At 55.0% G+C, this 15,918-nt stretch overlaps 2 protein-coding genes across 25 annotated transcripts in view, besides 1 other annotated feature; one reads left to right on the top strand and one right to left on the bottom strand.

Moving 5' to 3' along the window:
* Positions 1-15,918, bottom strand: part of SNED1 (sushi, nidogen and EGF like domains 1) — a 97,919-nt gene that overhangs the window by 13,009 nt on the left and 68,992 nt on the right. For 13 of the 22 annotated variants that reach the window (XR_002959254.2, XR_002959257.2, XR_002959258.2 and 10 more), the window contains 8 exons: positions 14,613-14,796; positions 13,537-13,649; positions 12,359-12,640; positions 10,840-10,984; positions 10,682-10,764; positions 9,196-9,294; positions 767-883; positions 196-283 (listed from right to left, as the gene is read on the bottom strand). Coding sequence is in view for 13 of the 22 variants with exons in the window: in XM_011510931.3 (XP_011509233.1) it covers positions 196-283; positions 767-883; positions 9,196-9,294; positions 10,682-10,764; positions 10,840-10,984; positions 12,359-12,640; positions 13,537-13,649; positions 14,613-14,796 (1,111 nt within the window). In the remaining 9 variants the exon portion in view is untranslated. Of the gene's footprint in view, positions 1-195; positions 284-766; positions 884-3,782; positions 8,248-9,195; positions 9,295-9,702; positions 9,790-10,681; positions 10,765-10,839; positions 10,985-12,358; positions 12,641-13,536; positions 13,650-14,612; positions 14,797-15,918 lie in introns of those variants that run through there. The other 9 variants (XR_002959256.2, XM_011510932.3, XM_047443888.1 and 6 more) reach the window with 5 other exon arrangements.
* Positions 1-15,918, top strand: part of MTERF4 (mitochondrial transcription termination factor 4) — a 59,702-nt gene that overhangs the window by 19,728 nt on the left and 24,056 nt on the right. For 2 of the 3 annotated variants that reach the window (NR_138463.2, XM_047443427.1), the window contains one exon: positions 6,878-10,392. The exons of the other annotated variant lie outside the window; for it this stretch is intronic. The gene's annotated coding sequence lies outside the window, so the exon portion shown is untranslated. Of the gene's footprint in view, positions 1-6,877; positions 10,393-15,918 lie in introns of those variants that run through there. 3 annotated transcript variants of the gene reach the window in all.
* Positions 8,602-9,118: an enhancer, noted in NCBI's record as "H3K4me1 hESC enhancer chr2:242012857-242013373 (GRCh37/hg19 assembly coordinates)". NCBI's record gives its function as "activates a minimal SCP1, AML or CMV promoter by ChIP-STARR-seq in naive H9 embryonic stem cells {active_cell/tissue: H9 hESC(naive)}" and the evidence as "EXISTENCE:reporter gene assay evidence [ECO:0000049][PMID:30033119]".

Genomic DNA, 15,918 nt, shown 5'->3' with positions numbered 1-15,918 from the left:
TGGGGCAGTTATTCGGTTTTTCTGCCTCAGCTGCCTAATTTGTGACATGGAGGGAATCGATGGTCAAAGCAAGTCCCTTCTGTGACTGCAGCCATCGTCCCTCCTCAGGGTTAGCTGGGTAGCTTTGAGACAGCACTTTGAGGAGTCAAGAACACACGACAAATGCGGTAAGGCGGAGGACAGAAACCAACTTACACGTGGTGACAGACGCCTCCCTCCCAGACTGGAAAGGCCTTTGTCTCGGAGAACAGCCTTGTGCAGGGGCGGGACACCTTTATACAGGCTGCGACAAAGAAGGGCAGTGGCTCACCAGGTGCTCCTGACGGCTCCTCCTGCCCCTCTTGAGAGGCCTTGCCCAAGGGAGAGGGCCCGGGGGTCCTTAGGCTGGCTTCCTCCAAGGCGGGATGGTGGGAGAGGGCCCGGGGGTCTGCAGCTGGCTTCCTCTAAGGCCGGGGTGGGTTGGTATTGTGGGGGTGGAGAGTCCCTTCTCCTGACACCGCTCTGGCTGGGTCAGGGAGCCCTCCGAAGCTGTGCCTCGCATGCTGTGGCTGTTCTGACCCCCGTGATGGGCAGCACCTCTCATCCTGGTGCTTGGGGCAGCAGCGCAGCCCCTGGGGGCTCAGGGGTCAGCCCCGTGCACCAGACTCCCTGTCTGGCACCTCATCGTTTGGAGGCTCCCGTGGCAAACCCAGCTGTGGCCCAGCAGTCCTAGGCTGAGGCACAGGCTGTGTTGGAAGGGGCGCCCTGAGGCCAAGCCCCGACTTACCGAGCTCGCAGCGTCTGCCTTTGAACCCTGGCCCGCAGTCACAGCTGTGGGCGTCTGCGCCCGGCACACAAGTGCCTCCGTTCTGACAGGGGTTTTCTGAACAGTTGCCAGGGACGTCTGGAAACAGAGGTCACGAGAGGTTAGTCACTGGAACCCCAGGACAGGCCTGCCTCATGGACATGTTGCTGTCCCTTCCTTGATGACCTGATGCAGGGTGGCCGTGCACTCCTCTGTGGTGTGCTGCGGTGGCCTCCCAAACGCCTCTGGGCCCTAGAGCGTGGTCCCAGTTCAGGTGTTGAGAGAGAGCAGAGGTGAGGAGACAGGCCGCAGTGTGCTCGGCCCTGACCTCATTACTGGAAGGAAGGAAGACAAACAAAAACAAGGAGGAGGAGAAGGAGGAGGGAGAGGGAGGGAGGAGCGGGGCCTTCAGTGCTGAGCCCCCACTGGCCTGTGGCCCCTCCCCACCCCGACCCTTGCTGGCTTTGCCCCTGAACACGGTTTCTGCTGCTTGGATCCTGAGGTCCCTCCTGGTGCTCTAATGGATGTGACTTACTGCTCACTTGATCCCACCCCTGTGTTTCCTGTGAACTCTCACTAGAGAGAGGTGCTTGATAGGATTTAGGTTCAGATGGTCTTTGCAGGGCTGCTGCCCAGGGATGCGTGTGCACCCCCAGCCAGCCCAGGCGGCCTGTGATGTGTCCAAGTCCCACTCGAGTGACACGAGGACTGGTCACTGGTCCAGTGCTGGCAGCCTGACCAACCCAGAAAAAAGTCCCCACGGGCCTTGCACCTGATGGCTCGAGCAAGACATCGAGATCCCTGATCCAAGGGCTGTCCTCTCACAGACCTGTGTCTGTCCCTGTCGCTCCTGCCCTCACCAGCTGGAGAGTGGTCTGTGAAGACAGGCTTTCCCTCACCTACCCCGTGGTCACCCTGGACTGGTCCACACAGGCACGGCAGCGTGAAGGCTCCACCCTGCTCCTTTGCTTGTGTGCCTGCAGACCGAGTTGGTCCTCAGCAAGCTCCAAAGTTGCCCACTAGGTTGCTTCTTCTTTCTGAGCATCACGATGAACACAGAGATATTGGTATATTTCATGGGCTTCCGTCCATTGCTGTCAGTTGTTTTCCTGATGCTCAATTTATTCTGTCTTTGGACAGCGGGAGCCCTTCAGGTTGGCTCCCCGCCCTCAGGACATGGTCTGCTGTTTTGAAAGCTTGCTTGCTTTTTACACAACATGTCCTGGGCTTATTTTGTCCACATCCTGCTTCAGTCTTGGAATCACCCATTTCTCCAAAGATCACTGGCTTCTTGGTGAGAACGAGATCTAGAGCCCACAGCCTGGCACTCACACCGCTCCCTATTATGGGATGTCACAGCTTCAGGCCTTTCAATGAACAGAACTAGAAAATTAGGCTTCTTTAAAAAATAAACACATTATGAGTTCATACTAATATTTCCATTTCAAATTAACAGAATCAAAAGACAAACAAGATTTTATTTATTTATTTTGAGATGGAGTCTTGCTCTGTTGCCCAGGCTGGAGTGCAGTGTCGCGATCTCAGCTCACTGTAACCTCTGCCTCCTGGGTTCAAGTGATTCTCCCACCTCAGCCTCCCGAGTAGCTGGTACTACAGGCGCGCACCACCATGCCTGGCTAATTTTTGTATTTTAGTAGAGACGGGGTTTCACCATGTTGTCCAGGCTGGATTCAAACTCCTGACCTCAAGTCAACTGCCCGTTTCAGCCTCCCAAAGTGCTGGGATTACAGGTGTGAGCCACTGCGCCCAGCCAAAACAAACAAGATTTTTAACTTCTTTCATTTTATATTTTTAATTCTTTACACTGAAAATCTTGGTGGCGTTAACAATTATTTTCTTTATCCTACCATATACATGCAATCATTTCAAAATAACAATTCAGGTATTACTACTAACATTAAGATCACTGAGTATAGCCTAACATTCCTTGGCGATGCTTTTTATCCTTAGACCATATTCCATTAGGGGTGAACAGACTACTCTTATTAAAATCGCTTGCAATGATATTTTTTTCCTGTGTGGTTATGCCATCCACATGATAACTAGGTTTACTTATTTCAGTATGTTTTCAATTTTTAGGTGTTGCCTTTTCTTTTTATTGTTTTTAAAACCTTTTTTTTGGTTCTAAAGTCAAAACTGTAAAACAAGGTTCATTCAGAGAAGCCTCGCCGATCTCCAGTCCCATTATGCAGTTCTTTCCCTCCTCATTTAGTGAACCATCTTATTAGTTTCATTTCTTTATTAAAATGAGGACAAAATTTGTATTTCCCTTCTCCATTTTCCTACACAAAAGACAACATACTGAAAACACTGTTCTGCACGTTACTTTTTTTTTTTTTTTTTGAGATGGAGTCTCACTCTGTCGCCCAGGCTGGAGTGCAGTGGGGCGATCTTGGCTCACTGCAAGCTCCGCCTCCTGGGTTCATGCCATTCTCCTGCCTCAGCCTCCTGAGTAGCTGGGACTACAGGCGCCTGCCACTGCGCCCGGCTAATTTTTTGTATTTTTAGTAGAGATGGGGTTTCACCATGTTAGCCAGGATGGTCTCGATCTCCTGAACTTGTGATCCACCTGCCTCGGCCTCCCAAAGTGCTGGGATTACAGATGTGAGCCACCGCGCCCGGCCTTTTTTTTTTTTTTTTTGAGATGGAGTCTTACCCTGTCACCCAGGCTGGAGTGCAATGGTGCGATCTCGGCTCGCTGCAGCCTCCGCCTCCTGGGTTCAAGCAATTCTTCTGCCTCAGCCTCCTGAATAGCTGGGATTATAGGCGTGTGCCACCATGCCTGGCTAATTTTTGTATTTTTAGTAGAGACAGGGTTTCCCTATGTTGGCCAGGCTGGTCTCGAACTCCTGACCTCAAGTGATCCACCTGCCTCAGCCTCCCAAAGTGCTGGGATTACAGGCATGAGCCACCGTGCCTGGCCTGCACATAACTTTTTTAAAGCAGGCATTATTGAGATAATTCATATAACATAAAATTCACCCAAAGTGTACAATTTATTGGTTTTAAGCATATTCACAGATACAGGCATCCATCAGCACAATTTTAGAACATTTTCGTGACCTCAGAAAGAAACCTTGTACCTTTTAGCTGTTACTGCCTTCCCCATCCCCTCCACCCTCCAGTCCTGAGCAACCGCTAATGTACTTTCTGTCACTAGAGAGCTCCCTCTGCTGGACTTTCATATGAATGGAATCATAGTACATAGAGTCTTCTGTGTCTGGCTTCTTCCACTTAGCATGTTTTCAAGATTCATCCATGTTGTAGCATGCAGCATGCGTCCTTGTTTTATGGTTGAATCGTGTTCCATTGAGTGGATATACCATGTTTTGCTTATCCTTTCTTTTCTTTCTTTCTTTTTTTTTTTTTTTTGAGACGGAGTCTAGTTCTGTCTCCCAGGCTGCAGTGCAGTGGCGCGATCTCACCTCACTGCAAACTCCACCTCCCGGGTTCAAGCGATTCTCCTGCCTCAGCCTCCTGAGGAGCTGGGACTACAGGCGCCCGCCACCACGCCCAGCTAATTTTTGTATTTTTAGTAGAGACGGGGTTTCACCGCGTTGGCCAGACTTGTCTCGAACGCCTGACCTGGTGATCTGCCCGCCTCGGCCTCCCAAAGTGCTGGGATTACAGGCGTGAGCCACCGCGCCCGGCCACTTTTCCTTTCGTTAGTTGATTGACACTTTGGTGGTTTCTACTTTCTGGCTTTTGTGCTGTGCTGCTATAAATATTTGTGTACAGGACCTCATGTGGACATAGGTTTTCATTTCTCTTGGGTATATACCTAGGAGTGCAATTACTGGGTCATGCGGTAACTATTGGTTTAATCCTTTAAGGAACTGCCAGACTGTTTTCCAGAGCAGCTGTACCACTTTACAGTCCCACCAGCAGCGTAGAGGGTTCTGATCTCTCCACGTCCTCACCAATGCTTATTATTATCTGACTTTTTAATTCCCGCCATCCTAGTGGTTTTGATGTGCATTTCCCTGCTGACTAATGATGTCAAGGATCTTTTCGGTGTGATTACTGGCCATTTGCATATCTTCCTTGCAGAAATGTCTTTTTAGGTCCTTTGCCCCTGTCTGAATTGGGTTGTCTTTTTATTGTTTAGTTGTCAGAGCTCTTTATTTTAGATATGGGTCTCTGATCAGGTATGATTTGCCCATGTCTGAACTGGGTTGTTTGTCTTTTTATTGTTCAGTTGTCAGAGCTCTTTATTTTAGACGCGGGTCTCTGATCAGGTATGATTTGCATGTTTCCTCCACTCCACAGGTTGTCATGTCACTTCCTTGATGGCATCCTTTGAGGCACAGAAGTTTTAAGTTTTGATGAAGAGTAGTTTATATATAGATTTTTGTTGTTGCTCATACTTTTATTGTTGAGCCTAAGGACCCTCATGATCGAAGGTCATGAAGATTTACTCCTATGTTTTCTTCTAAGAGTTTTGGTTTTAGCTCCTAACATTTAGGTTGTTGGTCAATTTGTGGTAATTTGTGTTATGAGGTATATGGTACGAGGGCTCCGGCCTCATTCTTTTTGCATGTGGATATCCAGCTGTCCCAGCACCATTTGCTGAGACTATTCTTTCCACATTGAATGGTTTCAGCCCCCTTGTAGAAGTCAGTTGGCCATTGACGTGTGGTTTATTTCCAGACTCTCAATTCTTTTTTTTTTTTTTTGAGACGGAGTCTCGCTCTGTCGCCCAGGCTGGAGTGCAGTGGCGCAATCTCAGCTCACTGCAAGCTCCACCTCCCGGGTTCACGCCATTCTCCTGCCTCAGCCTCCGGAGTAGCTGGGACCACAGGCGCCCGCCACCATGCCCAGCTAATTTTTTGTATTTTTAGTAGAGACGGGGTTTCACCATGGTCTCGATCTCCTGACCTGGTGATCCGCCCGCCTCGGCCTCCCAAAGTGCTGGGATTACAGGCCTGAGCCACTGCGCCCGGCCCTGGACTCTCAGTTCTTTTCCACGGATTACAGGCGTGAGCCCCCGCGCCCGGCCCTGGACTCTCAGTTCTTTTCCACTGATCTAAATGCCTATCCTTAACCCATTACCACACCAACAGGTTTCACCATGTTGGCCAGGCTAGTCTTGAACTCCTTCCTGGCCTCAAGTGATTCACCTGCCTAGGCCTCCCAAAGTGCTGGGATTACAGGTGTGAGCAGGTCTGAGTTTTAAAAGGCAAACAATTAATCTTTAAAAGGATATGATTTTATATATATATAGAAAACCCCAAAGAATGTATGACAAGAATAGGAGAGTTTGGCAAGATGGTTGGCTATAAGGTCAGTATGCAAAGGTCAAATAAATATCTATACTCCAGTAATAAATAATCAGGAAAAGTAACTTTTAAAGTATATACTAGTATCAAACTATATAATAGTATCAAACTATAAAATACCTAGGAATAAGTCTGAATTCCATATAAAACTTTACTGAAAGATATTAAATAAGTCATAATGTCATATATGGAGAGACATCCCATGTCCATGGATATAGACTTACTATCCTAAAGATGTCAATTTTCACAAAAATGGTCAATGGATTGAATGCACACCCAGTCATCATTATCTCAAAGGCCTTTTCCATAGAGTGTGACTAGATTTGAAGGTGTATATGTGGAAGAAAAAAGGCCAAGGGTAGCAATGATACTTCTGAAGATGAAGAGTAAAGGAAAGGAACTTTGCCAATCAGTTCCAGGACTTACAAAGTTAGAGTGAACACAGGGCAGTATTGGCACAGATGTATCAAATTGACGCCGCCAGAATTCTACTTTTATATGTGGAATTTTGATACTGACAGTGGGGGAAAAAGGGACTTTTTAGCATGAAGAGATGAAAAATCCAGTTTACCCATATGCATAAAAAATGAAATTGTAGCCCAACTTCTCACACACACACAGTCTAACAGATTAATGACCTACAGGTCAAAAGCAAAACTTTACATCTTTGTGAAAAAAATATACATGAATAACTTTCTAACTTTGGTGTGGGGAAGGATATTTTTTAAAGAAGGCTCCCAACTTGTTAACCACTAATGCTTGATAAATTTGATTATGAACTTTTCTCTATTAGGAAGTACCACCAAGAACAGGGAAGGACAAGCCAGAGGCTGGAGGAAGATACCTGCAGAACACAGACCTGACAAAGGATCAGTATCAAAACATATAAGAATTTTGACAAATGAATAAAAAGAGTACAAATAACCCAACATAAAGTCAAAAGGCGTGATCAGGCATTTCACAGAAGCAAACACCTTTGGTGGATGCCCATGAGGAGAGGCGCAGTCACATCAGTGCCCAGGAGATGCAAACCCAGATCCCAGGGGTGTGCATCCCACCCGTTCTGCCTGTAGGATCTGCAAACCCGGCAAAACCTAGTTCTAGAGAGACTGGATTCACTGCATGTCTTCATCACTGCTGGAGGGAGCGCAGACTGCTATCGCCTCTTAGAAAATGACTTAGTTCTCATGTAATTTGGGCATTCACACATCCTCATCCTAGATCCAGCTTTTCCACTCCCGCACACGTACTGGAAAACCTGTACAGGAACATCCACTGCAGCACTGCTCATACCAAACACAACCTACATGTTCTCTGCACAGAGAGGGGAGAAGAGCCGGTCAGTTCACTCAGTGGACTCTGTGCTCAATAGTAGGTGTGAATAAGCCGCAGCCGCCCAGACCGCATGGGCCAACCTCAGTCCGAGAATGCGGAGTGAAAACACAGGTCTAACGATCACACATGGCAAGATAATTATCTTGCAAAGAAAACTCACTTATTGTTCTGCCATACATATATGTACCATAGAATCACTCCCCGCACCTTCCACTCTGAAAAAACAAAGGAATTCTAGGCACAAAGTTCAGGATCATGGTTAACTGAGGGGAGAGAACAGGGAGTATGATGGCAAGATAGAAGGTATCGTTCACATCCAAGTTTATAGGTTGGGTTCTTGATTTAGTCATTATTCAAAGGCTAATAACTAAATAAAAGGTAGCTAGCGTGAGAGTGCAACATGAACCAAAGATCATGACTGGCTTTGCGCATCGAGGGGCCATTAAAGAGTCTACTTTTCATGTTATCACTTAAAATCATTTTGCACCCACCAGGGCATGAGCATCTCGTGCTGGCAAACACCACATGACCGTGGTGACCTCAGGGCCAGCCCGGGGGTCATCTTGAATCTCTCCTGCTGAAGAGACCCAGGAGGGTAACACACGCCCCTCCAATCTCTGAGTTCTAGGAAATGAACACCTGGTATTTAAAGGGGCTGACATAATGCAAATCATCTGATGAAATGTTTGTTTTAGTTCACTTAAAGATCAACACGAGAGTCTTCACTCTGAATGGGCCACACCTGAATTAAGAGAATCCTTCACTCTCTGCGTCGGATGCACAAACCAGTCCTCCTGGTGCTCACAGGGGCTAGCAGCAAGTCCAGACCTTGTATGGTGAGGGCGGGGGGGGGATGGTGAACTTAGGGTTCAGCGAAACCGCCACTTGCAAACACACCCCACCGCAGGTGCCCTTGATGTGTACACATGTCCTTGAGAAGCTGGGGGCAAGGCCTTGCGGGTGAGACCACGCTCAGCAGCTCACACCTTTACCAAGTACTAGGACTTCTTTGGGGTTGGGTTGAGGGGTGATCCCAATCTGAGTCTATGGTATGACTCAGGGGAGAACAGGTCACCGGGTGCTAGGAGAGCTGTCCATAGAGGACACAGCCCCAAAGGATTAGAACCAGGAGAAAGGTAGAGTCTGACTCAGGGTGAGGAACACACATGTATTGGTGCTGCCCGAAGGGGAACTGCCTCGTGAGCGTCTGGGAACTCTTACTGCAGGTGCTCAGCAGATGCTTGGTGCCCTGCAGGGACGTGCTGGCCTCGATCCTCACGAGGCAGAGCCCCGGACTAGGAGACAGTTCAGGTCCTGCATAACCTGAGTGTCCACAGGGCCCAGCTAGTCCTCAAGCTGGGGCTCGCCCAGTGGCTGCTCCCTCTGCTTCTCCCATCCTGACTCCGCCTGCTCCTCTTTGGAGAAGTGAGGGGTGAGGGGCCCAGAGGCAGGGGCTGGGGTGGGCTCTGCTGCATGTGGAGGCGAAGGAGGAGAGGGGAGGGGAGGCAGCATCAAAGCCAGTCTCTCTAGCTCAGACTCTGGGTGGTTTGGGTGGGTCCTGCCCCCTGGCCTGTTCCCGTCTGTGGGGTCCCACTGCTTGGGTGGTGTAGCTTCACCCCATCTTCCCACACCGGGGTGCCTGGTGCTCAGCCTCCCCTCAGGTAGGCTCTGTGCCTCCTGATTCCTCACCGTGGGTGGTCCCTCCTGCCTGCAGCCTCTAAGGCCCCTGAGAGCAGTCAGTCAGTCCCAAAGTCCCCACCAGCGCTGCTGACTCACTTCCGATGTCCTTGCTGCCGTGTTCAGGGAGCTGGAGGGCCAGGCTGACCCGCTTGGGGGCTTCCTCCATGTTCTCGAGCTGCGCCGAGGCTGTGGGTTCTAGGAGAAGCCAGGCGGTGACCACACGGCGCAGCTGCTTTGCACCCGGGATGGTCCTGGGGCCACCCTTTTGAGTGCTTCTATATCTCAGGGAGCACGGATGTCCCTGGTGGGGACCAGGCTCCCTGCGTGGCCCCAGCACCTGTCGGCCCCAGAGCTGCCTCCCCTGAAGGGCTGGCCTCACCCTCCTGCTGACCCTCTGGAGGGGCTCGGCCTTCCCCTTGCAGGGCCCCCTCAGAGCTGCTTCAGGGACAGCCACCACTGATCATGCTGAGAGGCCCCATCCTCACGGCTGATGCGGTTGCTTTCTTCTTAGGGTCAAATTCTGCATTCCTCTCCTTCCACCCCTGCTTCTTGGAGGCTGTGGCACCCCCTGCTCTTTCTGAGCTGCCCTCAGTCTGTACTGACCTTCCTCATGCCCTCGCCCCCAACTGCATCACTTCTTATGCAGGGATCTCAACCGCACCCTCGGGCACTTCATATCCGCTTCCATAGCTGCAAGTACAACGGGCCCCCCTCTGTACTCCAGATCTCACCTGCCCACCACTGGGCATCCCGGGCAGCTGCCTGCCCTCTCCTCAGACACCTTGCTGGGGGCTCTCTCCCCTGCTCACCGTGCGGCAGGGACCCCAGGGCTCTGGTCCCTGCTTGCCACTCTCCTTGCTGCATTTCCCTCCCTCCTCTGCCTGAGGAGTTTTTGCTCAGAGCGTGTTCATTAAACTGGTGACTAGGCTCTGTTGGGGAGTTCCATGAGGATGACCACCTGGCCTTCCAGGTGAGAGGCAAGGGCCAGAGAGGTCCCCTCTGGGGCAGGGTCGCGCCTGCCTCACTCCTGCCAACATGTCTCAGGGCTTCTGTGTCAGAATCACAGGCAGATTCCCAGAGCGGCACTCACCCAGTAAACCCGGTGGGAAGGGCCCAAGGCACCTGGGCCCATCAGCCTTGCTGCCACCGGGAAGATCTTGCCAGGACAGTGGCGGAGGATTTGCCGGACCACACTCGGAGTGGCGGGTTAGACCCTCATGGCCTCCTGCCCATGGTTTACTAAAACAAAGCTCAGAGCCCTACTTTGGCAAATAAAGCTGCTGTAATGTCTCAGACCTGCTTCTAAAATGTTTATCTTCTCTTGCGTGCCCTACCAGCAGCCTGCGCCTCCAGCCCACACACTGACGTGAGGCCCTCACGAGCTGCCCCTCCTGCCATGGAGGTGCATGCTGCCGGCGGCCCACGAGCCCCGCGCCTTGTGCACAGTCGGGGTGGGGGTCACTGGCTGGAGACTGCGCTGGCGGTGGGGGTGGGCTCATCATGTAGGGGACAGGACCTGGTGAGAGTGGCAGTGAGGACGAGGGTGGGCCACCAAGGTGGGTGGGGAGGCCCTGGCACTCACGTGATCTCACGGTGGCTGCTTTGCTGGGTGAGCCACCGAACCTGGCGCTCACTCTTCCTCTGCCGTCCACAAGCTCCGAGAACCTGCAGAGAGGGTGGGAGGGTCACCACAGTCCGAGCGCCGCCTCGGGCGATGGGGCCGATGGGTGGGGCATGTACCTGGGGGGCTGGGTGGGGGTCTCGGGGGCGCTGTGGTCATTGAGCAGGCGCAGCTCCGGCAGGCGCGCCGGGGGCGGTCTGTTCTTGAGCACCCGAGGGTGGTGTCCTCCCTGGTGCCAGCGTCTGTCAGCGCCATCCCTGGGGGCTGCAGAGCAGGCAGGAGGAAGGGGCTGGTCTGGGGCTGCCCTCTGCTCCTGTCCCTGCCCCTGTGGCATGGGTGGTGCCCCTCACACTCAGCCGTGCTTGGAGAAGGGAAGGGGGGCATGTGCGTGGGCCGTGGTCATCCAAGGTGCTTGTGGCTTCCCCAGATGCCCTGGGTTCCCTTCCAGCCCACCCGCCGCATCCCTTCTGAGGAGGAGCCATGCGCAGCCATGACACAGGCGTGCACTGGCCTGGGAGTCATGAGGCAGGGCTGAGTCTAGGCCCCTGCCCGTCACTCAAGTTCTCAAGGGGCTGGGCACTCGGGCTCGGACTCAGGTCCCAGGCTGCCCTGGAGACACAGTGCTTCTCCCCAGTGGCCTCCTGATGGGACGCTTCAGCTGGGAGTCCCCACCCCAGCATGTGCCCTGAGAGTGAGGGTGCATCTGTCACCCTAACAGCGTCCTTCAGCCTCCCAGGCTGGGCCCTCCTTCCCCTTCCCTCTCCCTCTCACTCTGACGCCGGCTCACAGAGGTCCCAGCCTGCCCCTTCTGCCTGGCTGGTGGGCTTGGCCCCAAGCTGGTGGGGGTGGCAGGGTTGGGTCTGAGAACTCGGCAAGCTTATGCACTTCGTGTCCCCAGCACAGCCTCACGGGTTGGGGAGGAGCCTGGGGTCAGAGCCCTCTCTTCCCTGGGGAGCCGCGCACTGCTCTGCTCTGTCCCGCCGTGGCCTCTCCTCCCTGCTTGTCTCCGTCTCTTTCTTCTCTCCCTGTTCTGCTCCTGCATTTTCCCACTGCTCCTTCTGTGAACTTGGAAGACCTAAGTGGGGCGTTCGGGACCCTGGTGGAGCCTGGAAGGGCCACCCCTGCACTTGGGAGCAGACCTGAGCCCTTCGGAGCATCTGTCCCCACTCCGAGCGGCTTCTGCCCTGTGCCTCTGCTCCCCAGCATTCCTGCCTGCCTTGCAGGCCCCTGCCTGTGGCCTCCTGGCCCTTTGTCTGTCTGTGTCCAGTGGCTCTTCGTGGGTCAGGCCTGGGCTGCAATGCAGGCCACTTCCGGGGGCTTCCTCCTCGCTGCCACCCTCGGCACCCGTTTTCAGGTGATGCTCGGCCTGTCTGGGATCTACGGGAGGGTCCGGCACAAACTGAGGCTCAATGTGCTTATTATTCCAGTTGTTGGTGCCACCTGCCCATGAGTCCTTCCTTTCCTTGTGGGTTTGAAAAGCCTCCACTTTCATACACAGACTCCTCCCCTGCTAACACGGTCCTGTTTCTAGGCTGTCTGCCTGGCATCCCAGGCCCCTGCAGGGCCAGGTCAGTCCTGAACAGGGTGGAGGGCTGGCAAACACTGGCCCCGCCCACGCGCAGGGCCCACGGCACTCACAGGTGATGATGTAGAGGTGGGCGGGCTCGCTGTGCTGCGGCCCGAGCTCCGTGCTCTGCACTGCTATCACAGAGAGCTGGTACCGCCGTCCCGGCAGCAGGTCGCGCACCGTGTAGGACGCCAGCTTCCCGTTGGGGACATAGCGGCTCTTGGTGCTCTGGCTGGTGGTCACATTGATGACATAAGCCTCCAGCAAGCTGCCTGGAGTCGGGGCATCCCAGACCACGTGGGCAGAGGTGGCAGTGACTCGGGCGGCGGTCAGGTTTGCTGGAGGCAGGGGCCCTGGATGAGGCAGGAGCAGGGAGAGGTGAGGGGGTGCCCACAGGGTCTTCTGGCAAGAACACGGTTTGAGAACCGGACATGGGCTGCCGCAGCCTTGCTGGAAGCCAGATTCTTTATTATGGAGAATGGTACAGTGCCGAGGCGGGGTGTGGGCTGGCACGTACAGCACAATCTTCCAACCGAGAGACCTGCAGGCCCCTGGTTGCCACCCTCCCCTCGGGTTAGGATCCACCCTGTGAAGCCCCCAGGCCCTGGCCCGTCAGCTGGCGCCCTCCCTGCGGCACAGTCGGTTCCCCTGAGCCTGGCTGCGTGGAGCCCTGTGCAGACTCCCCTGCCCCACCAGCCTTTCCCATGCCAGGCGGGCAGCATCTGAGTGCACAGGTGGGCAGGGGTCTGCTTAAGCCTCTGTTCCTCACAGAGGGAGCTGCAGCCTCCCCTCTGCCCAGTTCACCTGTCCCTCCCCTGCGCGCTGACTGTCCATGCTGTCACCCCTCCCATGCACTGGGGAGGGGGTGTGGGCCTAGTGACACCAGGAACTTAGGGAGCTTAGCTAGAGGGGGCTGGTTGCAAGGTACAAGGGCCCTGGATAGCATGGGTATCCCTGGCCCAGTGAGGTCCTCTGGCCCTCTGGTCGGTGTCCAGTAGGAACTCCATGCTGAGGAGCTACCAGGAGCCTTTAGAGATGGAGACTGCCCTGGACAGCTGTCCCAGCACAAGGGCCCAGCCCAGCCCAGCGGCTCCTGCCCAGTGGCCCCAGCGGAAGAGACATCTGGGAGGCCAGGGGCTGGGTTTCTGGTGTTGTGGACGCTTTGGAGAGGACTAGGGGAGGCTGGAAGGAAGCCAGAGCTTCTAGAAGACGGCCTTTCGTGTGCCGGGGGCCGCGCTGCTCTACTCACGGGTCCACACGTGCGTCGGCGCGGTGGCCAGGCTCTCTGTGGGGTGCTCCTCTCCCCTGAGCCCACTGAGGGTGGTCAGCTGGATGGTGTACCTCTTCCCAGGCAGCAGGGCCCTGTGGGCAGGAGGTGACAAAGAGAGAACAGGGATGTCTGGGACCTGTGTGTGACTCTGCTGCCAGACCGCAGCTCCCCCAGGCAGGAGGTGACTGCGGGGAGGTCATCCTGCTGCTGGTGGCCCAGGCAACCTCCACGAGGGGCAGACTCATGGCCCTCAGAGCCGTGTGCTCCTAGGGCGGGAAGCCAACCCATAGTCCGGGCAGCGGAGGAGGATCGGGTGCGCTTGGGGCTGCTACAGTATGGTCAGAGGGCCGGTGTTCAGCTGGGAGAGGCCAGAGAAGGGGGAAGTGGTCACTGTGCAGGGATGGGGGACGGGCCCTCAGCACAGGTGAGTTGATGTAAATTCTCAGGAAACCACAGGACAACGTGAGGCCAATGCCACCCCAGCCCCAGGAAGCTGCTGGCTGGAGTCTTCCTTCCCACTCGCTCTCCGATCTTTTCCTGCACCCCTGCCTGCGCTGAGCACGATTCGGAAGCTTTCTCTTTGGTTGGCGACCAAATCACAGGGGTCCACTGTGGGACTCCTGGGAGAGCTCGGGGCTGCTACCATCTACCCTCGCTGGCCGCTGCTCTCTGAGGGGTCCACTGTGGGACTCCTGGGAGAGCTCGGGGCTGCTACCATCTACCCTCGCTGGCCGCTGCTCTCTGAGGGGCCAAGTCACTCTCATGATCTGTGTGGAAAGTGTGCCCCCGGATTTTCTGAGCTTTTCCTGCTCTTTTTGGACACTTTAAAACACTACCAAGGTGTATCCTCTCTTGGCAGCCCTGATGAGGTGAGGCGGGAGTGAAGCCTCCAGGGTCTGAGGCTGGCTCACCTGAGACCTTTGTCTCCGCTCAGGTGAGGAGCGGCAGGTGGTACAGTCCACACACGGAGAATGTGCCCGAGACCTGGGCCCCGTGTCCCCGAGCCCCCACCCCTGCCTTCACCCCAGCCCCATGCTCTGGGTGTCCCTTCTTACCTAAAGGTGAACCTGTCCACACTCCTGTCCACATCGGTGGCCTGGTCCCTGAGGGCCTCAGGGTGGCGGATGGACACACGGACCCCACTGACGGTGGCATGGCGGATCCTGTGCAGGGCCCACTGCACTGAGATGGTGCTAGCCGTCACATTGGTGACCTCGAAGCCTTCCACAGGGCGGGGTCCTAGGGGGAATGGACTGTTCAGCAGGTGCCGGCCCCTCCTTGCTCCTGGGGGAGTGCAGGGGCTCAAGATGAAACCAGGCTTGGGAGGGTGCTGGGGGCCACAGAGAGGCACTGGAGAGGGTGTCCCATCAACTGCTCAGGGAACTCGGGCTGAGTGGGATGCCCAGGCTCTGGCCTCCAGGGCTGACAGCTGCAGAACCCGCTGTGAGCATGACGGCTGCAGAGCCCGCTGTGGGCCAGCCCGTCTTACCAGAGGCAGGGGTCTTAGTCTCCATTTAGATGTGGCAGTGACATGGCAGGGGATGGGCCGGAGTCCCTCTGGACATGAGTAACCCGGACCTCCCCTTTTCTGTGCCAGTTGACTATTTTGGTCTAAGAGCACACATCCGGGCCTGGTCTGGGCAACGCTGTCTTAGGAGGACAGACATACAGAACTCCCAGCAACTGCAGGGAAGGGGCCACTTGTGAGCTCCGCTTCCCGCCCAGCCAGTCTCCTCCGAAGCTCCAGTGCCACTGCTGATGCACCAGGCAGAGCCCAGAGGGCAGCGCTCAGCTCCCGGCAACTCAGCACCCCGGTCTGTGGACAGCGGTCCCTTCCACCCACCATGGCTGGCTGGAGCCCCAACTCTGCAGCGGGCAGGGCGGGCTCTGTCTTCACTCCAGATACCTTCCGAGGGCAGATCTCACATGGGGCGGCCTTGCAGGTGCTTCTTCCTAAAACAGCCCAGGCGAGCCACCCCTACTCAGCCCCTGGCAGCTCCTGCTGACACCTGCTCAGTGCCACCCGCACATGCGCCCAGGCTCTCCACTGGCCGAGGTGTGCTCTGTGTCCTTGCTGTGTTGGGAACTCCAGCCCCTTGGTGGTCAACTCCTGCAGGACAGGCCCTTGTGGGCCTCTGGGTGGGCTCAAGCTGCCTTGAATGCCTTCTCCTGTCCCTCAATGCCCTTGGCATTGGCATCAAGCTAGGGCCCAGGTGTGGCCAGGAGGCTTTCCTCCTGTGAGAACCGCCGAGCTCCTCCCCACCTACCCGCCATGCTACCCATAGGTTTCACCAAACTCACGTGGCCGCCCCGCAGGGCCCTGCTGGATGCTTAGGCCTCCCTGAAGCCCTGGCCACCCAC

This window comes from Homo sapiens, chromosome 2, assembly GCF_000001405.40.
Source record: "Homo sapiens chromosome 2, GRCh38.p14 Primary Assembly".
In the NCBI taxonomy this organism is placed as follows: domain Eukaryota; kingdom Metazoa; phylum Chordata; class Mammalia; order Primates; family Hominidae; genus Homo; species Homo sapiens.
This window is presented reverse-complemented; position numbering and strand designations above follow the sequence as displayed.